At 37.6% G+C, this 27026-nt stretch overlaps 1 protein-coding gene across 6 annotated transcripts in view; it reads right to left on the reverse strand.

Moving 5' to 3' along the window:
- Nucleotides 18718–27026, reverse strand: part of TMX3 (thioredoxin related transmembrane protein 3) — a 41421-nt gene continuing 33112 nt past the window's right edge. For 5 of the 6 annotated variants that reach the window (NM_001350516.2, NM_001350515.2, NM_001350514.2 and 2 more), the window contains 3 exons: nt 26011–26140; nt 24493–24561; nt 18718–22223 (listed from right to left, as the gene is read on the reverse strand). In NM_001350516.2, coding sequence (NP_001337445.1) covers nt 21963–22223; nt 24493–24561; nt 26011–26140 — 460 coding nt within the window. In that variant the 3' untranslated portion in view covers nt 18718–21962. Of the gene's footprint in view, nt 22224–24492; nt 24562–26010; nt 26141–26322; nt 26576–27026 lie in introns of those variants that run through there. The other variant, XR_935227.3, reaches the window with a different exon arrangement.

Genomic DNA, 27026 nt, shown 5'->3' on the forward strand with positions numbered 1-27026 from the left:
AAATGAAAAGAGTCTCCAGTGAAAATTTACACCATAAGACTCGACCAAATGTATGCTGTCCTATGGTGTATGTTCAGGACATGTGTTATTCTTTTGGGCTGCCCAGAATGTGAATCTCATTCCCATGTTTTGGAAACTGTGTGCTGTGGTAACCTGGGTGTCCCATGAAGAAGATAAACATCAATTTCCCGGCTATTCCATCTTTGAAGCTCATGTACACATGTGACCATGTGACCTGGCCCTCCCAAGCAGATGTATTTCTGCCAGATTTCACTAGAAGTCTAATCAGAGAATTGGATGCTAAGTGGTATCCCCACCAGCGAGGATTGTAGCAGCAGCAGCAGCCATGTAACTCTACTTTCCACAGGTAACAGTGATTAAAAATCCAGCAACTGCACCCAATATCAAGAATGAGTGATATTAGTGGTTAAAGTGGTGTTGCCTGTGGTCTTGATGGAAACAATTGTGCAGCATGATTTAGAAACTTCTCTGGCTCTGCAGCACCCAAGGCTGGTCTCCAGTCCTTTCAGGGCACTCTGACAGTCCCAGTGTCCTTTATAAGTTGGGTTTTGTTTAAATCAGCCAGAGTTGGTCTCAGTTGTTAGCAATTAAGAATACTTACTGGCAGAATATGGGAATCATATGGCTTGAAATTCATTTAAAACACTTCTCTACACATGAACCTATTGGAACCTTATAAGAAGTAATCTGAAAACCACCCTGTAGACACTTTTATAAGTTAGGAATTCAAAATTTAATAGAGGAAAAATTGTCAAATATAATGTCACAGTGAAAAATATTAGATACACAAGAAAATAAAGTACCATGAAGAAAATTCTGTGGAAGCAACCATTAAAGAATTGATGATTCAAGAATAAGAAAAATAGGAGAATATAAAATAGGCCAAAAAGGTATGTTTATAATAATTAAGGAGATTCAAGAAGGAATGGGAATCAGTGAAAAGACATATCCTAATGGAAAAAAGAACAAGCATATTTGAAGAACAATCATATGTAACTTTTACTAAAATAAGTGTTTTAATTTAGAACAGTTTTAGATGTATAGAAAAATTACAAAAATAGTCACGTTTCCATAGAACCACACACCCAGTTTCCCATATTATTAATGTATTACATTAATGTGCTACATCGGTTACGATAAATGGACTAATATTGGTATATTATTATTAATTAAAGCTCATATTTTATTCATATTTCCTTCCTTTTTACCTAGCATCCTTTTGCTGTGCCAGGATCTCATCCTAGCTACCACATTACATTTGCTTTTTACGTCTCCTTAGGCTCAGCTGTAATTCTTACCCATGTTAAGTTTTCTTACGACAAAAACAAAAAAAATACTTTTGGAGGTGATGGATATATTTATTGCCTTGATTAAACCTAGAACTTATGAGTATATCCATATACCCAAACTCATTAAATGTTATTCATTAAATATGCACTGTCTTTTGTATATCAATTATACCTCAATAAAGCTATTATTTTAAAGAAAGATTTAACTATTTAACTACATGAGGTAGCTTTGTCATGTGTCCATTTGGCTAGGCTGAAAAACATTTCCCAGAATTCTCCCTCTTCTATGTTTCCCATTAGCATGGGCCACACGTACATGTTTTTGAGTGAGATTTGCAGGGTGGAAGTAAAGCCATAGCATTTGTAGCCCACACACTGTGATACTCGTCTGCTGACTAAGCTCATTGGCCGGAGGCAGAATCTTGTCCTACACATGTCCTTACACAGCTTGACTTTTGCTTCTGTGCTTCCTGGGCCAATTTCTCAATACCTTCAAAGGTCCTGACTTCTGAAATGACACTCGTAACACAAGGTGAGCACCAGAAGAACTAACACAGGTGAAAGTCACTCCTGGGGGTTTCAGCTGTGCTTATGGACTCCATCACCTCCCATTCATGTTTTCTTCCAAAGTGCCTACCCTGTGAACTTTAGTAAACTTCAAACTCCAACATCAGATGTGAAGACAACAGCCTTAGAAGGACTGCCTAACTAGCTCACACAGTTCCAACAAATCCTTATAACAAATCTGTGTGTGTGTGTGTTAGTCTGCTCTCACACTGCTATGAAGTGATATCCAAGACTGGGTAATTTATAAAGGAAAGAGGTTTGACTCACAGTTCTGCATGGGTGGGGAGGCCTCAGGAAACATACAATCACGACGAAGGTGAAAGAGAAGCAGGCACCCTCTTTACAGGGCGGCAGGACAGAGTAAGTGCAAGCAGGGCTAGACGCTTTTAAAACCGTCAGATCTTGTGAGACTGACTCTCACGAGAATAGCATAGAGAAAACTGGCCCCATGGTTCAATTACCTCCACCTGGTCCTCGCCTTGACACATGGGGATTATGGGGATAACAATTCGAGGTGAGATTTGGATGGGGACACAGAGCCAAACAATATTAGCGTGTGTTTGTATATATGCATTTAGATATGTATCTTCTGGTGTTTTTACCTCTCTGATTGAACCCTGCTGAAACAGAATTTGCTATTGAGAGTGGTTCCAGAGAAAGAGAATATTAAGGATATGTTCTACGCATTGGTTCTGGGATTTCTGGAACCGGTTCTCTGATTTAATTAGATTTAAAAGCACAAATGATCGAGTTTCCAGTGCAATGGAGCATTAGTAACCCATGCATGCAGTGTCAGAACCGTTTAGACAATCACACCAGCGTCTGTAAGAGTAAAGGTTCCAGGTGACCAAGCATTTGCTGTCTTAGGATATTTTGGTGAAAATAATAGGTAAAATTGGATGGATTTATTGCTGCTAGAAGTGGAGAACTTGGGAAAAGAAAATGAGATCCTCTTTTGCTGAAGTTGGGTTACTGAACTGAGAGTGAATGAAATCCTGAAAACTGGCGTGAGAACATGTGGAGAGATTCTGATTAAACTGGGCACCTCGAACACCGAATCCCACCGAGCACCCTTTGTTGGTAGAAGCAGCTTTCTCAACTCTGTGCAGAAGTTTGTCCTCTTTGGCCAAAAACACCTGTAGTTACCTCCTTCCTGGAGGTAGTTGCCAACAGGCCCCAATTTATGAAAATTTACGTGTGACCAGTGAGGAGGTATAAGGCCAACTGAAAGAATGGCATTATTTTGCCCATTCATATTGACTGAAACCCAAGGGTTTGTATCAAAATATAAATAAATCCTAAAACCTAATAAGTGAAGGATAATCCAGTTTTTTAATGGGCAAGGGATCTGAATAGAAACTTATCTAAAGAAGACAGACAAGTGGCCAACATGCACATAAGAAGATACTCAAATTATTAGTCACTAAGGAAATGCATATCAAAACTACAGACGACATGTTATACCCTTTAAGATGATTAAAATAAAAGAGACAAACAATAAGTTTTGGCAAGGATTTGAATAAATTGGAACCTTCATACAGAATAGGTTAAAGTTTGCCTAGGGCTGGTTGGTGAGGGATGAGGAATATAAAGAAAAGGGAGTGACTGCTAATGGGAACAGGGTTCCTTTTGATGTGATGAAATATCCTAAAATTAGGTAGTGGTTACAGTTACATAAGTATGGGAATGTATATAAATAAAACAACAACACTGTGCAATTTAAAAGGTTAAATTTTATGGTATATGAATAAAGCTGTCTTTAAATACAGCTGTCTAAATAAAGGTCTAGGGATATTGGAATGTTAGTGTGGATTTATCAAGTATGACCTGCTCTGGAAAGACCTAGAAGACATATCTTTCCTCACAGCTGTGAGAAATCAACTCAAGGGGGAAGCTCCAGCATTTTTGAAGAGTTCTCTCTTCTGTAAGTCGGAAATCACAAGGAAACTGCTACACTGAAGTGGGCTCTCTACCCAAGAGAAGGAATGGGATTCCAGGATGGCGGAAGCTGTTGGGAGCTGTTGGAACAAAAGAATCCTTTCTTTCCCCTCTGGAGTTTTAATATTTGAGTCTGACAGAAAAACTGACAATAGACCAATTAACAGGAAAAAGGCAAACACATTTATTATGTGCACGGGGGCATCACAGGAAGCTGAGGACTCCATAACAATGGAATTTGGAAGGCTATGTGCCCTTCTTCATCGGGAGAAGGAGTAGAGGATGAAGACATGTTAGAGGGGGAGAAAATAACTTTTAGAGCAGATGAGTGGGCCTGGAAAACAGACAACCATCTGGTACAAAGTCATCTGGACTCTAGGTGTGGTGTCAACTGTAGTCTTCTTTCTGTGATATGCCTCAGTCTCACCCTGTTGATAAGACATCTGGGGAAGGGATTCACAACAATTGACTATGTTCTGGAGGATCTGGCCTTTAGTAGATGGGAATACTTCAGGGAAAGCCCATCCCTGCATTTGCTGTTCCCTAGGAGCTCTCATTTTGAAGTCCAAAGCGGCATATTTAAGGGGATTATTAATATTTCCTGAGCTCCAACAGAGCCAAGTGAGGGCACTTAGTCACTGAAGACAAGGTGAGTTACTGGAATGGCCAATTGTATAACGTCTGATAGTCAAACTAGAACTGAAACTGATGGACAGTCCAGTGAAATTTTACTTGGCCTGATTAAGCGGAAAAGCTGTAGTCTGTTGAACTGAAGTCTGAATTGAATAACCAAAATGAGAGTCATGTCCCTCAATTAATTTACATTTCATACACTCAAAGCCGCTGAAATGGCTGCCCTGTGCCCAAATTCTTACCCCTGAGGCAGGGTGAAGAAAGCCTGAAGCCATCCCATTGAAAAAAAGACACTGCTGCATAGCAAAACAAAAATAATTTACACCTGCAAATCATCCTCTTTATGATCCCACCCAAGGACTCAATCTATTTAACATAATGACAGCTTTGGGTAAGAAAAAATGATCAGATCTTGAGGAATTATAGGATTTATTTCATGGTTCTAAACTGACAATACTTCCTGTGGTCACCGGTCAGAGTAGGAAATTGTGGCTGTCAGATAACTGATGGAGTGTTAGCTGGAGTCTGCCTCACAGTGGGCCACCTTCTGATTATTTTCCTAGCACCAGAATGGTTACAGCATCTGCAAATAACTTGCAGAATTCCCGTGTGTACCTGACCATGGAGTGAAAAGAGAGCAAAACGGAAGCCACTGGAACGGCCCCTGCCTTTGACAATAGTAAACCCAAGGTAGTACACATTCCTGGAGTGCAGAGATTGTTGCCACCATCAAGGACTCGAGAGATGCAGGGGTGGGGATTCCATTCTATTCATCTATTTTGTCTGTGTAGATAGCAAATGGATATTGGAGAATGAAAGCCGATTATTGAAAATTTAATCAGATGGGGACTCCAGTTGCAGCTGTTGTTCCAAATGTGGCTTTGCTAGAGGAAATTCACACATCCCCTTGTATCTGGCATGTGACTATGGACCTGGTGAGTACTTTTTCCCTCTATACCAGGAAAACTTGCAAGCTGAATCCAGCCTGTATCCTATTTTTGAAGAGCTCTTAAGCTAAGAAAGGTTTTTACATTTTTAAAGAGTTAAAACAAACAAACAAACAAACAAAGACTGTATGACAGAATCTGTGGGACCCAAAGACTAAATTATTTAATTGCCTGTCTCTTTATAGAAACAAGTTTGCTGACCCCTTGTGGTGCTTTAGAGAAAATATTTTTGTAGCTGAACAAATTTTGCTGAAATGGGACCAGGACTAAATACAAGCCTCGGAAAATAATTTTTGACTGCCTATGTAAAACTCCAGAAAACTTTACCCCCTGGAGGTATTTGTCTTCATTTCAGAAGGGTGTGGAGACCTGGGCTGGGAGACGCGGGGTTGCAGAGCTGGAGACAGTGGTGTTATCTTGCCCCTGGTGAGATGGATTTATATCCTAAAGGGTTGGAGATAAGACTCAGGGTCCTCCTGAAGAAGCAAAAGTTCTCTCCCTTCTTTGAGGAAGAAAGCTGGACAGCATGCACAGAAGCACCTGGACTCTTCCCAGGATTTTCGCCTGAAATACAAATACCTTATGCACAGGATGGCTTCAGGCTTCCATCACGCTGCCCCAGGGATAGGAATTTGGGCACAGGGCAACCATGAAATTGTTTCCTGGAAAGTAAATAATGATTAATCCACTCTAGTCCAGAGACCTTATGGATGCATTCAGTATAAAATTAATAATATGACTATTAAAAACCTAAGATTTCTGCTTTATACTTCTTAGTGAAGATCATAAGCAAGTATTTGCTTTAAGCTGAAAAAGTTGGCAATATGTCCTTCGGGGATATATCAGTTCTCAGTTCCATACCAGAATCAAGCCCTAGGGAACTTCACCGTCCTTCAGTGATTTATCGGTTCTTCAGTCCCATACTGTCCCTCATTGTCCTTTAGGGATTTATCAATTCTTCAGTCCCATACTATTCTTCACTGTCCTTCAGTGATTTATCAATTCTTCAGTCCCATACTGTCCCTCACTGTCCTTCAGGGATTTATCAATTCTTCAGTCCCATACCAGAATCTAGCCCAAGGGAACTTCAGTGTTCTTCAGAGATTTATCAGTTCTTCAGTCCCATACTATTCTTCACTGTCCTTCAGTGATTTATCAATTCTTCAGTCCCATACTGTCTCTCACTGTCCTTCAGGGATTTATCAATTCTTCAGTCCCATACCAGAATCTAGCCCAGGGGAAATTTTATGGTTTTTTTCTTCCTTCTCTGAGTGTCACAGTGGTGTATTGCACTGATATTAAGCTGATCGTATCAGTTTGCTAGGGGTGCCATAACAGAGTAGCACAGACTGGCTGAAACAACAGACATTTTGTTTTCTCACAATTCTGGAGGTTAGAATTCCAAGATCAAGGTGTGTGTTGGCAGGGTTGGTTTCTTCTGCGATCTCTCTCCATGGCTTCTAGATACTACTTTCTTCCAGTGTCTTCAAAATGGTATTCCCTCTGGAACAAATTTCTTCTTCCAGCAGGACACTAGTCACATTGGATTAGGGCCTATGCTAATGACTTCATTTTAACTTAATTACTTCTTTCAAGGTTCTATCTCCAAATATAGTCATGTTCTGAAGTACTGGGAATTAGGACTCCAACACACGAATTTGATGGTTGCGGGGGGGGGGGTGGTGGTCATAATTCGGCCCATAACACAGACTAAACCTGCTGAGCAGGAAGTTGCAACTACCCTAGACACATTGGTGAGACACTGCATGTCAGAGGACAGAAAATGAAAATAAGTCCTCCAAAAATTTAGAGGTCTTTCATTTTGGTGAAGTCACTGATGGTCCAATAGTCTGGGACATATCAAGATACTACTTCTAAGGTGAAGGTCAGGTTGTGGAATCTGTTCCCAATCACTAAGAAAGATGTATCAATGTCTAATAAATTTCATCAGATGCTGGAGACAACATGTACCTCATCTGGGCCCATGACTTCAACTCATTTGCTAAGTGACCTAAACACTTGCCAGTTTTGAGTGGGGTCCAGAACAAGGAAAGGCTCTACAGTAGTGCGGGCTCTACATGGACAGTGAGACCCAGCACATGTGATGTGTTTATCTAGGTGGCAGACTGAGATGCTGGTTGGTGCTTTGGGCAAGTTGATAAGAGAATCACAGTGCAAACACTCAAGATTCTGGAGCAAGACCATATTGTCTTCTGTAGGTGTCTATTTATTTACCTTTGGAGAAACAGCTGTTGGCCTTAGCAGCTGACTGCTTGAACTTGGACCACTAACTTGCCATGTGAGCTGAGTTTTTCATCATGACAAGGTGTTGGCTGATCCAATGAGCCATAAATTTGGACATGTACAGCAGCAGCCTTCCATTGTTAAATGAAGTAATATGTATGGGATTTGGCTTGATTAGGTCTTCAGGGAACTAGTAAATTGCATGAGAAAGTACCCTAGATGCCTCTGACCTGTACTTCTGATACATTACCTTCTCCCTTTCAGTACGGCCTCATGAGGAGGTCTCTATGATGAGTCGTCTTGGGAAGAAAAAATGTGGTCATTTCTGCCTGTGGAATTCATTTCACTTTAACAGCATGCAATTCATTCGTCTCACCATTAGTCTTCCCCATCCTCCTGAAGCAGCTAGCTTGATTGAAGAGTAGAATGGCATTTGGAAGACTCCAGTACAGTCCCAGCCTAGGCTGGGCCCTATCTACCCAGATGGTAACTGTCTGCAGGGCTTGGACAAAATATGTATCGGGATCTAATATAAAGCACTATTTCTCCCATAATAAGGATTCATGGGTCTGAGAATCGAGGGGTGAAATGAGAGGAACCTCCTTTCATTATTATTCCTAGTAACCCACAAACAAAATTCTTCCTTCTAGTCTCTGCCCCTTTAGGCTCTGCTGGTCTAGATATCTTATTCCAAAGGGAGAAACCCTTCTATCAGGCACCACCTGGCCACTTTGAGTTCCTCACGCCACTAAATCAACAAGCAAAGAAGGGGTTGCTGCACCTGCCGGGGCATTTAATCCAGATTACCAAGGAGAAATCAAGTGGCTTCTATATATCAGGGGTGAGGAGAGGTTGTCTAGAATACAGCATGCCCTCTGAGTTGCCCCTCAGCTCTCAGATTTTCTGTGATTAAGGTCAATGGAAAATTATAACAACCTGATTCAAACAGAACCTTTCCAAAAAGAAAATTTACATCACCTCATTAGGCAAGGAACAATGACCAGCTGGGAATTGCTGAGGGCAAAGAGAATATGACATGGGAAGTGGAAGGAGGTGGTTATAAATACAGTTACGATCATATGACCAGTAGTAGAAACAAGGATTGTAATAGTCATGAGTATTTCTACTTTAGTTTTGAAATGAATATATATTTATATATGCACATACACACGTGTTATGCATAGTATAAATATTTTTGTTTTTTTAACCTCTCTTATCCCCTTAGTATCTACCGTAAGCTGTGTTAGCAGAACTTAACATAGCATTATGTTAAACAGAAGCTTGCCTTAGATACCATCTTTATTTGGTGATCAAGTGTGGTTCAGGATTATAGCACCAGGTGTATGGCTGCTGGTGGCCGCAGGTAGCCTCTTGCGGCTTTCTAATGTGTCAGCTTGGCTATGCAGAATACCTTCAAATTCCTGCCCTGCGTTATTCCTCTGAAGATGAACCACAAAGGGATCTCATGTGAGAGTGAGGGCAGAATTCAAGATGCAGACATTTGCAGCTCACACACACGGCTGACCTCGACATCTCCTCACTGGGAGGCATGGCTGGGCCTGAAGATGCTCCACCTTTATCTAGGTCCTCTTGCTGCTTCTCAGTCAGATTTTGGGTTTAGCACCATCAGGAAGCCTTTGGAAGGGCTCTCAAAGCACCAAGATCAGTGGCAACAAGAACTGAGATGGGTTTCAAGCTCAGGCAGCAGATGCAAAGCTCAGGCAACAGATGCAAAGACCATAGCCTTACAGAGATGTTCAACCTGCTCCCACCCACTGTGTAAATTCAAAGTCTCGTAGTAAATGTGTGTCGGTGCGGTGGGGGGATGGGGAGATTGAGAGGGTACACATCTAGTGTTACTGCTTCAAAGATACATTATACTTTTTAATTTAGCTGTCTCTGGACATATAACATTTTCGTGTTTTTTTTTTTAATTTTCATGGAAACATAGCGGAAATGTTTACTTTGTCATAATTAATATATGAAAAATATGATTTTTTAATTTGTATGTGTGTATAGTCATTCATAAGTAACTGCTGATGAACACAGCAGCCTCTATTTGAATGTTTTTTAAGGGCAGAATTATTTGGGTATTTGTGACGTTCTTTTGTTTATTTTTTGAAAATTCTATCTTATCTATCTATCCATTCATTGATTTACTCAGTGATTCTTTCATTCAAACTCTTATTGAGCTTTGAGCTGAGGCAACACAATTTCAACTCTTAAAAATGTTATCAGACTGAGAGTGGTGGTTTATGCCTATAATCCCAGCACACTGGGAGACCAAGGGCATATTTGCTTGAGGCCAAGAGTTTGCGACCAGCCTAGGCAACATAGCAAAACCCTGTCTCTACAAAGAAAAAAATGTCATTAGATTTGCAATAGATAGATAAATTGATTTAATTCATTCATAGTGTAATTCTGTACATTAAGCATCAAACCTAAGTTTATACAGTGTCTTGTGTGGCCAGGATGGAGGATGAAATTAACACCTCAAGAAAAGTCAGTATATGCTTCAAAGACCTGTTGATCCGGATTGTGTAAGAATTAGTGATACTCTGATATATTCTAAGCAACAGTACTCAGATATTATGTATTAATAAATACTTTCCTGAAAAAATTGTAAGCTGTCTACATAAACAACTGTTGTTTTCCAAGTTGAATAAAAGGGATAAACCTTTCAGTCTAGGCTCATGGCTTTTCAGCAAAATTTATTAATTTATTATTAGTAGCAAAAGCCTTTTTAAAATCTCCATTAGCCAGTTTTGTCCAAATCTTTCTTATCCATATTTGATATCAAGGTTTTCATCTCACATAAAGGCATTTTGCATCTAAGTCACTTGAGACAGTACTTTAACGACCCACATACAATGTTGCTGTAGTGCATTCTATCCAAAGGCATAATGCATATTTCTATCACATTTGATAATTTTTAAAAATCTCTGGCTGAAGATTCAAGATTACTCAATTAAAAAATATACTGTTTACTGTATTTGCTTTTTAAATAAAAGCATTTATTTTAAAACTTTTTAAACCTATATAAAAGTTACAAGAAGAGTACAATTGATGATTCTAGGTAGAGGGTACATAGGTATTATAAACATGTAGCCACAATTGCTTTGTCTATTTGTCTCTCCAAATATGCATAATAAGAAGTATTTATAATTGTTTTAACCACAACATATACCATGACCAAAAGCAGAACAATGGGGTCAGAGCCATGGTACATTTCCTCTTCCCTTTCTGACAGGCATCACCGCACTAGGGGCTGGCAATTTTAGCTCCCATTTTGTTTCCTTTTTCTTTTACCATCTGAAGTTATCCAATCCACTTTCCTAGGGAAGAAACTGCTTTTGATCACAAAAGTCCAATAATCTAGAAATGAACTGCACCTGGTTATGAAAACACAGCTGAGTAGACACACCCTCTCATATGGTTGTGTGTGTGTGTGTGTGTTTTTCCTTACATTACTAAGTGGACACCTAGGTAGACATTTCATATTTGGAACCAGTTACTGGTCATATAAAAACTTGTTTTACATTAGATATTGTAGAAGAAAGAAGCAAACTGTGACTATATTTTTGAATTTTAAATTTTGTTTTCTATACAAATTCCTCATGAAGATGAAGCCATAAGGTGTGAAACTTCAATGAATTGCGGCTCCCTAGGGCTGCCTCTACTCTGGACATCCCTAGCAGCAAAGGCTGATTTAAGTCAGTTTGAGCCCTTGCTCATCTCTAGAGGAAGGAACATAGAAAATAAAAGAAAAAAAAAGAGAGAGAGAAAGAATCCCAGCTGAACATAACCTACTTTCTTGTTTACAAGAATAAAAATCCCTTTCCTGAAGCTCCTCAGTGGTGCTAGCAGGCTTCCTCACTGTCCACTGGGGCTGCCTGTCATGAGGAGGCTGTGAAGCACATCATACTCTTGTACTGGATTTGACCTCTGAAGGCTCAGAAGGAAATTTCACAAAATCCAACTTCTTTCAGAGGCACTGGTGCTTTTATTCCTCCTAATAATCATTTCAACCATCAGTTCACAACTTGGAGTATACACCAAAACCCACTGCCAATCTTTTTTCTCTCTGTTCTGGCTTCAAGTGGGAGTTCATCCAAGACCAACCAAAAAGATTTGCTAAGGTTTATGTATGTTTTTGTAGATCATCTGAGGAGACACTCATGTAATTCTGATAGGCACCACTAGTTAAGCATCCCTGATTTAAAATATAGTAATTGTCACCACAAAGGCTAAAAATTTTAAACTGGCATTTGCAAAAGAGATAATTACTTTTTCGTAGTATTTGAGGGTTGGAAATTATTTGGTTACATGAAAGTTTGCACAGTACTTGACATCAAATCTATTCTTATTTTCAATGACTACACAAATGTTAAGATTTTAGATCCCAAGCTAACTAATGAAAGAAGTCATCCATGTTAAAATATGTTCAAAGCTAATGACACTTTTATGTTAATTACTTTTATTTCTTACTGTGGAATCAGTAAGCACTTAAATGCTTTTGTAACATACATTTACAATCTTCAATTAAAATTAAATATATGCTTTCGATTTTTTTAATCAGAAAACGTAAACTCTAACACTCTGATGATAAAAACATCATGATGTAAAAACAACAGATTCAACACTCATTTGACAAATATTTATTGAATGCATAGTACATGCCAAGCATGTTCTAAAACTGGGAATATAGCCTTGAAATAAAACAGATAAAGTCTCTGACTATTTGGAGCTTACAGTTAAAGTGCATTTGAGGATAGAAGCAGTCAGTAAATGAGCAGTTAATATGTATTTTAAAATTTATATAGAACCGGCCTGGCGTGGTTGCTCATGCCTGTAATCCCAGCACTTTGGGAGGCCAAGGCAGGCGGATCACAAGGTCAGGAGATTGAGACAATTCTGGCTAACATGGTGAAATCCCATCTCTACTAAAAATACAGAAAATTAGCCGGGTGTGGTGGCGGGTGCCTGTAGTCCCAGCGACTTGGGAGACTGAGGCAGGAGAATGGTGTGAACACAGGAGGCAGAGCTTGCTGTGAGCCGAGATTGTGCCACTACACTCCAGCCTGGGCGACAGAGCCAGACTCCATCTCAAAAAAAAAAAAAATTTTTATATAGAACCAATAAAGAACCCAAATAGCCAAGGCAATCCTAAGCAGAAAGAACAAAGCTGGAGGAATCACATTGCCCAACTTCAAACTATACTGCAAGGCTACACTAACCAAAACAGCATGGTACTGGTACAAAAACAGGTACATAGACCAATGGAACAGAATAGAGAACCCAGAAATAAGGCTGCACATCTACAACTATCTGATCTTTGACAAAGCTGACAAAAACAAGCAATGGGGAAAAATCATATTCAATAAATGGTGCTGGGATAACTGGCTAACCATATGCAGAAGATTGGAGCTGGACACCTTCCTTATACCATGTACAAAAATAAACTCAAGATGGCTTATCAAAGACTTAAATGTAAAACCCAAAACTATAAAAACCCTGGAAGACAACTTAGGCTATACCATCCTGGACCTAGGAATGGACAAAGATTTCATGATAAAGACACCAAAAGCAATTGCAACAAAAGGAAAAATTGACAAATAGGACCTAATTGAACTTAACAGCTTCTGCACAGCAAAAGAAATGATCAACAGAGTAAACAGACAACCTATAGAATGGGAGAAACTATACATCTGACAAAGGTCTAATAACCAGAATCTATAGGGAATTTAAACAAATTTACAAGAGAAAAACAACCCCATTAAAAAGGGGGCAAAGTTGTGAACAGACACTTTGCAAAAGAAGGCATACATGCAGCCAACAAGCATATGATAAAAGCTCATGATCACTCATCATTACAGAAATGCAAATCAAAATCACAATGAGATGCCATCTCACACCAGTCAGAATGGCTATTATTAAAAAGTCAAAAAAAAAAAAAAATAACAGATGCTGGCAAGTTTGCAGAGAAAGGTGAACACTTAAATACTGTTCATGGGAGTGTAAATTAGTTCAACCATTGTGGAAAGCAGTATGGTGATTCCTCAAAGAGCTAAAAGCAGAACTACCATTCGACCCAGCAATACCATTACTGGGTATATACCCAGTGCAATATAAGGCATTCTCCCATAAAGACACATGTACATGAATGTTCATTGCAGCACTGTTCACAATAGCAAACACATGGAATCAACCTAAATCCCCATCAATGACAGACTGGATCAAGAAAATGTGGTACATATACACCATGGAATGTTATGCAGCCATAAAAAAGAATAAGATCATGTCTTTTGCGGGAACATGGATGGAACTGGCGGCTAACATCCTTAGCAAACTAACACAGGAACAGAAAACCACATACCATATGTTTTCAATTGTAAGTGGGAGCTAAATGATAAGAGCTTATGAACACAAAGAAGAAAACAAATACTGGGATCTACCTGCTTGGGGAGGTTCAGAGGAGGGAGAGGAGGAAAAGGTAACTATTGGGTACTGAGCTTAATACCTGGGTGATGTAATAATATGTACAATGAATCCCCAGAACATATTAAGGTAATAAACCTTCACATGTATCCTCAAACCTTAAAAAAAAAAAAAATTAAAAAAAAGCAGTGTACGTAAAGGGATGAAGAACCGGAGGCCAGGAGGTCTAATTTACAGAGAGTAGGTCATAAAGGCATTAATGGTAAGGTGACTAAAGTGATGAAGTCCTGTGGGTATCAAGAAGAATGTTATTCTCATCAGGGGGACCAGCGAGTGCAAGGGAGCATCTGGGTGTGTTGCAGGAACAGCAGAGGTCAGGAAGCTGGAAGGAAATGAGCAAGGAGATAGATGCACTGGAGTTAAATGTGGTAATGGTGGGAGGCAGGGAGACTGTTAGAAAGCATTAGAAGCTATTTGAATTTGCTGGGGCTGCCATAACAAAGTGCCACAAACTGGGTGACTTAAGCAACAGAACAACAGAAACACTGTTTCCCCGTTCTGGAGGCTAGAAGTCCAAGGCGTCCACAGAGTCAGTTCTTTTCCAGAGGTGTGAGGAAGAAACAGTTTCTGGCCTCTGCCCTAGCTTCTTGTGATTTGCTGGCCATCTTTGGCGTTCCCTGGCTTGTAGAAGCATCATCACTCCATCTCTGCCTTCATCTTCATGTGGTATTCTCGATGGGTGCCTGTCTGTCTCCAAATTTCCTCTTTATATAAGAACCAAAAAAGAAACTGAATAGCCAAGGCAATCCTAAGCAGAAAGACCAAAGCTGGAGGAATCACATTACCCAACTTCAAACTGTACTACAAGGCCACAGTTAACAAAACAGCATGGTACTGGTAGAAAAACAGGCACATAGACCAATGGAACAGAATAGAGAACCCAGAAATAATGCTGCACATCTACAACTATCTGATACTAGGGCCCACCCTACTCCAGTGAAACTTCATCTTAACTAATTACATCTGCAACAACCCTATTTCCAAATAAGATCACAATCTGAGGTATCTGGGGTTAGGACTTCAATGTATGAATTTTTGGGGGACACGATTCAAGCAGTAACATCGGCTATGGTAAGGATGTTGTCAGTTACACTAAGGAATGTTTTGAGCAGAAAAATGACATAACCTACCTTATATTGTGTATTAGTCCATTCTCACATTGCTATAAAGAACTACCTGAGACTGGGTAATTTTTGAAGAGAAGAGGTAATTTATGCAGAGACTCACAGGTCCACAGGCTATATAGGAAGCCTATCTGGGGAAGTCTCAGGAAACTTACAATCATGGCATAAGGTGAAAGAGAAAGAAGCACCTTCTTCCCAAGGCGGTAAGAGAGAGAGAGCAAAGGGGGAAGTGCCACACACTTTTAAATAACAAGATCTCATGAGAATTCACTCACTATCAAGAGAACAGCAAGGGGAAAATCCATCTCCGTCATCCAATCACCTCCCAACAGGCTTCACCTCCAACACTAGGGATTACAATTCAACATGAGATTTGGGTGGGGACACAAAGCCAAGCCATATTACATTGTAAAAAAGATGACTTCGGCTCCTCTTTCAACAGTAGACTGCAGTCAGGTTATGACAGAAGCCTTTCCCAGGGTAAAGGGTAATGGTGACCTGAACCCAGATGCTAGTCTTGAAAGTCATGCAAAGTTTGGTTTCTGAATATATTTTAAAGATATAACTGATAAGCATTTCTCCCAGATTAGATACATGGTGTTGAAGAAAGTAAGTTACAGACAGATCCTGGGTTTCTGGCCTGTAATCCCAGGACTTTGGGAGGCCTAGGTAGGTGGATCACGAGGTCAGGAGATCGAGACCATCCTGGCTAACATGGTGGTCTCTACTAAAAATACAAACAATTAGCCTGGCATGGTGGCACATGCCTGTAATCCCAGCTACTCAGGAGGCTGAGGCAGGAGAATTGCTTGAACCTGGCAGGCGGAGGTTGCAGTGAGCCGAGATCACGCCATTGCACTCCAGCCTGGGTGACAGAGCAAGACTCAATCTAAAAAAAAAAAAAAAAAAAGAAAAGAAAAGAAAAAAAGAGATAAAATAATTTAACACAGATTTATTAGTTACACAGATTATTTGTGTGCACAGCCGCATAATTTTAACTATTAAATGTTTACTATGTTTTTGACTGCGTTTTCATAATTGGAAATAGAATTTCCAGTGGTTGCATCAAACAGATTCAGAAACTGGCATATCAACTTTAATAGAAGAAAACTATTTTTATATAAATTAGTAAATGACCATGGTCACTTATGAACGAAGACAATGATGCAAAGATTCATGTGAAAAATTTAGATGGGTGGAGAAATAATCTCCGTTTCTACTACAAATTCAGCTTCACTGGACTTTTTCATCCACCCAACCAAAACTCGATATACTGGAGTTGGCTAAAAACCTTTTTGGATCTTTTTGTTGTTAAAAGAGGAGACTCACACACATGGGCATGGATGGTGGCTTTACTGCTTACATTTATGGACTCACAGAATCTCAGTCTTGAAACCAATACCAAGGAGTTTTCTAGCTTGAAAAACACTTTCACTGTGAGAACTCCGCACCTCCAACAGCCCATTTTATCTCGAGATATTCTTTTTGCTGTTTCCTTACCTTGAACTGCATTCAATTTCCCTGTTACCTCTATCCATATAACTACCACAGTTGCAGATATGCTGAGTAAATCTGACCTCTTCATATATTTGAAGCAAGCTGGTATGTTCTGTTTTGTCTTGGTCACTAACTCTCGGAGTCCCAGAGATTATCAATGCTCTTATGTTGAACAATAGATTGTGTAAGAAGAGAAACTAAGAAAAACAGAAAAATGGAAAATTTTCAACTGAGCATTTTAAGTAAAAACTGAACAATTACAGTAGCTAAAAACTTTATGAAGACTGAAGCTATGACTGTTTTTTGCTGCTGTATATTCATTCAATAGAATAAAAGACATTTGTTAAACGTTTGTTGAAAGAATAAATCTGGGCAAAGCAGGAAGATTGCTTAAAGCCAGGAGTTCGAGACTCACTCTCCCTTACAAAAAATTTAAAAATTAGCTGAATGTGGTGGTGTGTGCCTATAGTCCTAGCTACTTGGGAGGCTGAAGCAGGAGGATCACTTGAGCCCAGGAGTTCTAGGCTGCAATGAGCTAGGATTGTGCCACTGCACTCCAGCCTGGGTGACACAGTGAGACCCTGCTTCTAAAAATAAATAAATTAGTTAAAAAACAGAAAGAATAAATCACACAAAAAATTGCCACTTCTCACTAGTTAAGATATCATTTCAGTTTACCAGAGATGAGCTCAGAGAAAAGTTGAGCACTTGACTACAGTAATGTATGCTAGCAGGAAAATCAGATAATTTTCCTATATTCAATATTCATTATTCTGTCTCACATTTATGTCTATCTATTCACATACATCAACCAACAATCTTACTGGTTTATATCTGCTTATGTTTATTCATTTTCACTAGAAGCACAAAAACCAGAGGATTTTTCCAAGACATCTGAACCTAAATATTTGTAATTAATTTTTATGTCAAAGAAATTTTTTTTTCATTTCTATCCAAAATGTTAGAACTTAAATTGCAGAAAGTAGCCAAGCAAACTTAAAACATATTAGAATTTCACATTCCTGATGACTTGGCTTTTCTCTGTGGTAAATGATATAAATTCTAAATAAAGTGAGAAATCAATTAACTCTAAAAGAATTATACTTAATATTTGAGCTGTTACTGTATTCCAGTCACTGTTCTAAATACACCTCATGTGCAACTCATTTCTCTTCACAATCCAGCGAGATAGGTGCCATCATCCTCCAATTAGACAACTCAGGAGCAGAATGGTTAAGTGGCTCATTCAACTTTACACAGGTAAATGACAGAAAGAGTTGAACCAGGGAGTGTGACACCGGAGCCTCCACACACACAGTGCAATACAGCCACACAACAAGAGACGAGAACCTCCATCACACTCCTGAGAAATTTATAAACAGCGGAACGTGCTGTGCTCGGTCACTCGTATCAGAAGAGGCCCATCCTAACCAGCCAGTCTGCAAATTCACAGGTTTGTGGGTCCATGTTTTGGGCTGTTATTCCTGTGCCTATCACTCTCATTAAAAGATACGTCCTTGTTAAAAATAAATATATATAAAAGAAATTATTTTTAAAATTAACGTTTGTATAAAGCCTTTTTTTCCTAATATACCTGATGCTATTTAAAACCAACTTTTTAAAAACTTGAGGTTTTAATTGTGGTTGTGTGCTGTCAAAGATAATTTAGCAGTTGACTTAAGGATTGATTCTTCTCAAAATAAACTATAAGATATGCTTTTTACTGTACAATTACCAGGTTTGTCAAATACAAACTATATCAAACCTATGAATCTCAGGTTATTTATAGTAGAATTAGACTGCAATCTGATCTCTCTCATCTCTAAAATTCTATATTTCTACAATTATAATTTTAATAAAAGCAACACTTTCTGGAAGATATGGTCGTAGCTGTTGTCTTTGTACACAGAACTATTCATATTGCAAACAACCAGGATACACAGTAAAAATAAGAAACAATTGCAGGTTTTCAATTACTTTATTTTAGAAAAACAAAGGTTTACAATTTGTGCCATAGGCAGAATATCATGAATTCAACAAGTTAGTAATGCAGACTTTCAAAAACCTCTATAGATTAGTCCAAAGTAGAAAATTATTTTTTGCCCACTCTTGGACTCAGACACATTCAGAAAAAATATATATTTATAAAAATAAAATGTCAAGCCTAATCCCACCAATTGATAGTCTTAATATCCTACACTGGTTTATTTGATCATTTAATGCATAAGGAGTGTTGAATGATTTTTCCCTGTCCTAACTCCATGTCGTATGAAGCAATGATGAAAATATGTTACTTTTTGCAACACCAAAATAAAAAGGTCCCAAAGCAAAACACACACAAAAAGTCACTAACAATATCCACTAAACAAAAACAGTACTGCTAATTCACCTGCTCATATAGACCCTTCCTTCAATCCCCCAGATACTTGGCATTTAAATGTTATTTCTAAATCAGATACCAGGAAGCAACTATGTGAGAAAGAAAATGAAAATTCTAGGTCTAATACATGTTAAACAAGTTTCAGGTAATAGTAGCTGAGAAAAATATTGATGCACATAATGAAACAAAAAGAATTGCCAGATATAATGTGGTGCACAGGGTACTCGATAAAAACATGCACTTTGTCTCGCTGAAATGTCCTTAAATATTGTCTGAGCACCAAATTCTGCAAAAGCAAGGATCTAGAATTCCGAATTTTAGAAGTTATAAAGAGAACTTCACTGCAATTAAAAGAGAAGGCAAAAATTCCAACTTCCTGAAGGACCCCATTATTCATATAGAATCATGACAAAATTTACCATGGAATTAGAATGATACCTATGTTCTTCCACTAGATTCACTTATTAAGAGATCTGTCTTTATATGGAAGTAATGTTTCACGGAATGAAACTAACATTCATAGTAATCTCTGATATCACATTGAAGGGAACAGCATACGAGCAAACAAATTTTAGAATCTGTTTTGTGAATAGTCTGACAATGTAAATAAACATCTCCCAAAGTAGAGAAAAAAACAAAATTTTAATACAAGAAGAAATAAAAATTATTCACTTACAAACCACCTACACATTTTGTTTTCCCAACAGACACACTTTAAAAGCACAAATAGAATATAAGGCAAACAGTACAAAGCTGTGAAAAGGGTAGCAGAGAACTGAGGCATTCATTTATAAACAACATCACAGAATATAAACGAAGATCATATTTTGTGGATGTTTGCATTCACACTGAGCTTTACTCTTTTTTTCCTATTAAGGTCTTTCATTTACAGGTAATGATCAACAAGACAAAAATATGTAAATGACTAATTATAAATATGAAAAAATTCAGTGACATTTTCTATAACTATTTCCCCATGTCACTGACTGCTAAGTTTTCACTTCCTTACTAGGCTGAGTTTCAAATGAGGTATCCGTACTCATCTAAGCTTTTCACTACTGCAAAACAAGCTTGACTATTGGGAACATTAACATTTATCTTCCCAAGAATCACTCATCATTCTTTGGAGAAGAATCTACTTGTTAAATTAACAGCATTTATCTCTGGTTTCCACTTAATATCATTTCACTCTAGTAGTTCCTGAATTTTGGACTGCATATTTGTTTCATTTCCAAAAAAAAGAAATATGGAGTGTCAAACACTAAGAATAGGTATTTAATTATTAAATACTAAAAGAGTACATGGATAAAATAAAACAATCACTAGTAATTCCTTAGTACTTAAGATGCAAGTGTCCATACAGTCTTGATTAGTACGGCATTAGAAACAACAGAGGGCTGTCCTTGATGACTAAATCCCTAAACAACGTCAGTGTCCAGACCATGAATTACATATTTTTTGACCATGCATTACATTATTTTTTAATAAATGTTCAATAAAATTCTTTATAGTGGAAAATTACTCAATGAATAACCACTCAAATCATAGTTGCCTAATATAAATTCTAAACTTAGCTAAAATGAAGGCCTCAAAAATAATTTATCTACAATAAACATACCAAACTGTTACTTTAAAAAAAAGAGTTTTTAGACATTGCTTTGGAAAGAATTCCTGTATTAGTTTATAGAAGATGAGAGGTCACTTGACGAAATGGGTGACAGAACTAAGACAATGGAGAAGGTAACTGGCTGATCTCTTTTTTTTACACCGGATGTGACTTGTCACTGGACATGCTAATGTCAGTCGTTACTCCTTATGAAGCAGACACGGACAGGTCTACAGCATTACATAATAGATGTGTCAATAAACTGTGTGTGTCTGTGGGTGCATACGTACGTATTCTAGAGTAGAAGTTACCATAAAGTTCACACACCAGAAACATAAAAATATGATACATACCACTTTTCAAAAAGCAGAAGATTTTTATCAAAGGAAATGTTAGAAGAAATCTCAATATATAAAATAGAAATAAAATACTAGGCTATTCTGGCTAAAGCAGAGTAGGATTAACAGAGACCCTTCCCAACCTACAATGACTGATGAAATACCTGTTAGTATTCCAAGGAATGGGCTGAAACCTCTACTCAGTAAATCCTGTTTATTTTGCGAAAGTCAATCACAAGACTTTTTTTCCCCATTATCTAGGCATATATGAAAATTTTATGATAATGCAACTGAGTATAAAGTTAAAAAGTAACATTTCTTCTCCTTTAAAAATAACTAACAAAATAAAACCACTATGCTATATAAAACCACATTATTTTTAACCTCATAATCTTGATACATGGAAAAAGTTATTAGTTCTCCTTAAAGTGCCTAAATTTTAAAGACTTAATTTTGTCCATATAAATCTTGTCCAAAATATATGAGGGAAACGGATGGCAGCAGGAGAGGCATTATTTTTCTATATCACACATGTATCTTCTACCTGACTGACCAATTTAAATATTCTGCCCAAGAATCTTAACTTTTTGTCACAGAATATTCAGATAGAGAAACATGCAAATAGAATTGTTCTGTTCTAATCACAAAGATCAGGTAAATTTTGATGGAGTGCTCTGTGTTTGTTTCAGACAAACTGTTCATCTCTTTGCTCCAAACACTTCCCCATGTATGGAGGGACTACTTTAATCCATGCAGTTGATATTAGCAAAATACGAATAACATGTTCTTTTCTGTAAAGATCATGATTAAATGTCTAAATTCAATAAATAGACTCTTTAATAATTTGAAGTCCTAACAAATATTTTATAGTCATCAAGTCTCAATCTTTCTTCTTTTCTAATACATCCTTGGGCTCCTGCACTGTAGGCACTACAGATCCTCCACTGCTGGGCTCCTGCTGTTCTTTGCTCTCTTCTATCTGTTCTTGGTTTTCATTTTCACTTTTAGACACTTCATATCGTTCTTCTATATAACCTCCATCTGTGTCGGCTGTGTAGATTCCATAGCACATGATACTGATGACACCCAGTGGCAGGCCAAAGAGAAAGCAGCCCATCAGTGGTGAGCTCTTGAATATAGACTGTGGAAAGAGAATTAAAACTCAGTTCCCTTCACATGTAATTCTGATATATATAGCATGAAATGAACTTGAAACCACTATAGATTTCTCTTGTTGCTATTCAGCTTGTTTTTAGTTCCAATGAATCAATCATTTCAGCAGTAACTACCATGTGAAAGACACTGTTAAGAGATATAATTTCTATATGCACATACATAAGCATGTGTGTGCAGAACCAGCTATTAGCAACAGAAAAAGGCATCAAATATTCTACAGCCTTTCCTAAAGACACTGATTTTTCTACATTAACCACAAAGGTCTCTTTAAGGTGCTTACTATGTGCGCCCAGCAGCTTTAGAGTTGCTTCCTGAACCACAGGAATCTGCTTATGGAGAAGGCTGGGTTATTTACCACAAAGAAGGTACACACATACTCTTTTCACATGACATTTTTAATATTTTTTACTTATCTGGTTAGTAGTAAAACTTCATTGACTTACTAATTTCCCTCAATTTACATACTGTCTTCATAGCTCCCAGGAAAGTAAAAGTAATTTTAATGAATAGGGTTTTCAACTAGAATATACTGCATGAATTGCAACGATAACTCTTGAGAACATAGAGAAGTTCAGAGAAGAAAAAGATCACTTTGGATTGAGATAATAAAAGAAAGTTTCACAGAATAAAGGTGTGTTTTAGGTAGGAATTTAAGGATGAGTGAGAAGGAGGCAGGATATGGGACAAGTGAGCACCAGGCAATTTGCACTAGCAAAAGCTAATATTCAAAAACCAACGAGGAAAATACTTTAGATGGACAGAGTATTCTGATGTCCCTGGAAAAGGGAAGGAAAGTGATCAAAATCGATTATTTTAGTAATATTAACTGTGTAGTGGAATATAATATAGATTGGAGACTGGGCAAGTGGAAGTATGGAAACCAGGTGAAAGAGACCAGCAGCTAGACAGAATGTGATTAGGGCCTAATCCATGCTCGTGGCAACAGGAAAGTAAAGCAAACTGAAGAATACTATGCAAGGAAAAAAACAAAGAGTCCCAGAATTTACTTCTAACCAAAAAATGTTAGCTATATTTTTATGATTGCTTTGGGCCACAGTGAATGAAAATGCCCATGTAAGAGCTCGAGAAGGACAACAGGAACTAAGTTTAGGGCTCAAACAAATTTAAGAATTCCTCTGCTGTCAAGTTGATTGACAGTTAAAGCTGGGAGAGGGAGAACAATTTCGTAAGAGTGTCAAGCGAGAAGGTTCAGACCCAGGGACTGCAAAGGGGAAAGGGAGGAAAGGGATGCTGAAAAACACTGAAGAGATGGGGCAGGAGCAGGGGAGTAGTGATACTCACAGCAGCACGGAAAGGAGAATGTCAAGGAAAGGATGCTTCAAAGAAATCCAGGGGAAATACAACAGATCTAATTAGTTTGACAGAGTGAGCATTAGTTTGATAGAGTGAAAGGAAGAGGAAATTAGAATAGCAGAAATAATCAGGTGAGAGGTGACAGTGAAGAAAGTCAAGGAAATATATTTAGAAAGTATAATTATAAAAACAAGAGAGACGGGTAATTAGGGGCAGACATGTCAATTCGTCTACCACTGTTGATATTCTACTTACATATAACAACTGTGAATAAACACTGGGACAAACAAATGAAAGTAAACACTGTTAGAAAGGATTTGATCCATCACATTTTAATTCCACATTTAAAGTGTTCTATAAAAAGAATAAAAGAAAAAAAAAAGGAAGGAGAGAAAAAGGGAAGAAGGAAAAACATCTGTAAATGATCTTAATTATTTACCAACTAGGGAAAAGTACAGAATTAACAGGGATGTTTAAAATTGTAAGATCTAAAATTTTATTTTGACTCCTGCAAAATAAAAAGTGACTTCCCAGCACACATCATTTTCTTTAACAAAAATGACCAATTTACAGAAGACAGCACGTAATGGAACTAAAAATTTCATATTATCTGCACTTTCAACAAATCATAGAAATTACTAAGTAAAAACTTTACATGGCAGGTTGCAGAAATAAAATCTTTTAAATTATACTATCAAGTTAATTGATTCTGAATTTTAGTTTTAACTCATCAATCATATAAACAATTAGAAACAATTTCCACCTAATGAATATATTTTCTTAAATACTGACTAGTCATATCCTGCAAATTAAAAAGACATATTTTGACCTAATCTTTTCAAATTCAGATTTTTAACACAGCTAGACATAAAGAACCTATATCTTCTTCATTATCAATGACATAAACTGTCACAACTTACCACAATAGTAGATTTGGCATCAAATACTATTCTTTTCAATCTCTGCAAAATGCTATCACCTCCTTGGGCCTTCAAAAAAGGAAAAGAAAAATAAATTATTTAAGCACCATTACTTCATTTACTTGGTGTTACATAACCTTACAATTGCAGGCCAAATGGTTGACTCCAAAATATTACATAATCACCTGAAAAGGCCATGTGGTAAACATTTACTGTGTTGTTTTTTGTCTGTGTCATGTCCAGCATTCCTCCTGCCTGCTTGTGTTAATTCACCCTGATTCTACTCTAAACAATTCCTCCTCCTCTATTCATAACCCACACAGCTTGGCTGAAGCTGACCCACCTCTGAGGACAGCCTAACCAGCTTTTGAGTTTAGCTGGGACCGCAAAACCAGAGCTGCTGCAGGATACCTTTGCTACTGTGCAGGGAGAGCTTCCCTGAGGATGAAAGTGCTGAAGGGAAGAGAGTGAAAAATTCCTGATGAAAATCACTCAAATCCTATATTCGGCCATACCTGCAATCTGGCTCATTTTTTAAATTTCCAAGCTCTATGAGACAATAAAATCTGTTGTTAAATAGTCTGAGTTGCATTCCACTAACTTAAAAATAGAAGGCTGATTATTTATATAGGTGAGAGTTTCATTTCAACAAATTATTTTCAAAAATATTCTTAACTATTTGACTGTTTTTCAAACTTCTTCACCTTGACCGAAAGTAGTTATGTTTGTTACTCTGTAAGCAAATTTTAAATAAAGTTTGTGTAAAACTGAAACAACTCTCAAAAACTAGTAATTACATTTCACAAAAGCAATGAAGGCGCTTTCTTTTAAATTTTATCCTAGTCTATTGAATTAAGATGCATGCTGGTCACAACCTGATTGTGACTTGCGGTGGTTTCATGACTTTCTAATATAGGTTGCAATTCACAGTTTGAAAAACACTGCAGTTAAAATTTATAGGAAAAAAATAGAAAATTAAGACTATTCACTTATTTCTGAGAAATATTTTATAGGATTAAGTCTAGAACTCTCCACGGGGGCTTTTACTCTCAATAAATTTCCTCATTTCTTGAGAAATTGTCATCTTATTTGCAGATTTTCTTAGAAAACCAATCCTAACGACTTAATCCAATTGTACTTTTGGACCTAGAAACATACTAAGAGACAGGCAAGTTCACTATTAAGATTACCCCACACAGTGCAGACTTCCTAGCATCCCTAAGCCTCAACCTTAGCCAACAGCCCCTCCCCATCACCATGACAACCAAAAATACCCTCCAAATAACCCATAAAAGGACACTTCCATCTTTAGCAACCTCTGCCACAGAAGAACCTTCTGTATCTGGGAGAATGTACCTCTACTCTGCCTATAATTGGACAGAAGCAATGTATGGAGGTCCAGCCCTCTACTCCGGGTGATGGCCAACTATTCTTTTCAGAATCACAAGTAAAGAAATGAACTAGTTTCTCCTCTACCCCCTGTCCATCATCTCTTTGAAACAGAAGTGAACAACTTACTTCTACTGTGCCATCCAAAATGTTATTAATAAACTGGACCATGTCTTCAACATTCTTAATCTGTCTATCTAGCAAGAAATATTGCTGGTTTGAAGTATTCAGTACAACTACAGTTGGGACTGTCAATTCACTGAAAATATAAAAACAAATCAAAATATACATTAAACACAGCAATAGCAAGTATTCTGATATTCATTTATATCTCAGTAGCCATAATTATAGAAGCTATTTAACACATTTGTGCATATTTTATGGTAGAAAATGATCAAATAGACCTAGTATTTACGTGTATTTTATGCATTCATGACATACCTTTTTAATTTGTTTGATATTTCTAGGATACGCAATTCATCTTTAAGTCTTTTCAAATTATCAAAAATCTCAAAAACATTTTATAACATATGTATTGAAAAAAATTCCTATGGGTGGTCTGCACAATTCAAACTTATGTTGTTCAACGGTCAACAGTCCCTTTAATAATTGTATAGATACTTTTTTTCTCTTGATTCTTCATTATATCCTACATCTGGTACTTTAATCTTTGGCAAATCCTCTTAAGTTCTTACTGAAATGAGAGGGATAATAAATGAAGTAAGGTGATGCTACATTTCAAGATTTAGCTGAAGATGATGAATGTTACTTCAGATTTGTTAAGTTCACTCCCTTCCTCGCTCAGTGTTCTTACTTAGAAAATAGAAGACACCAAAATAACCTAATACATTGCAATAACAAATGAAGGCATTTGCTACATCTATGATACTAAGCAAAGCTAGAGAAAACCAAAGCACAGCATCATGTTGTTGAGCTTCCACTGGGCCCTCAATGAGGCTAAGAGTTAGTGTGTCTCTAGTGAGATTTCCCCATCTTCATTTAGAGACTAGCTTATCTCTCTAGCACTCTCCTAAGCCCAGTTTTCCTACTACCTGTCATACTTGCTATTATGTTCTGCCTGAAATACTATCCCTGTGTTCTTCATTCAGCTAACTTCTCACTCTTTAGACGTTTTCTTAATTATT

The sequence above is a fragment of the Homo sapiens genome, chromosome 18 (assembly GCF_000001405.40).
Source record: "Homo sapiens chromosome 18, GRCh38.p14 Primary Assembly".
Taxonomy (NCBI): Eukaryota; Metazoa; Chordata; class Mammalia; order Primates; family Hominidae; genus Homo; species Homo sapiens.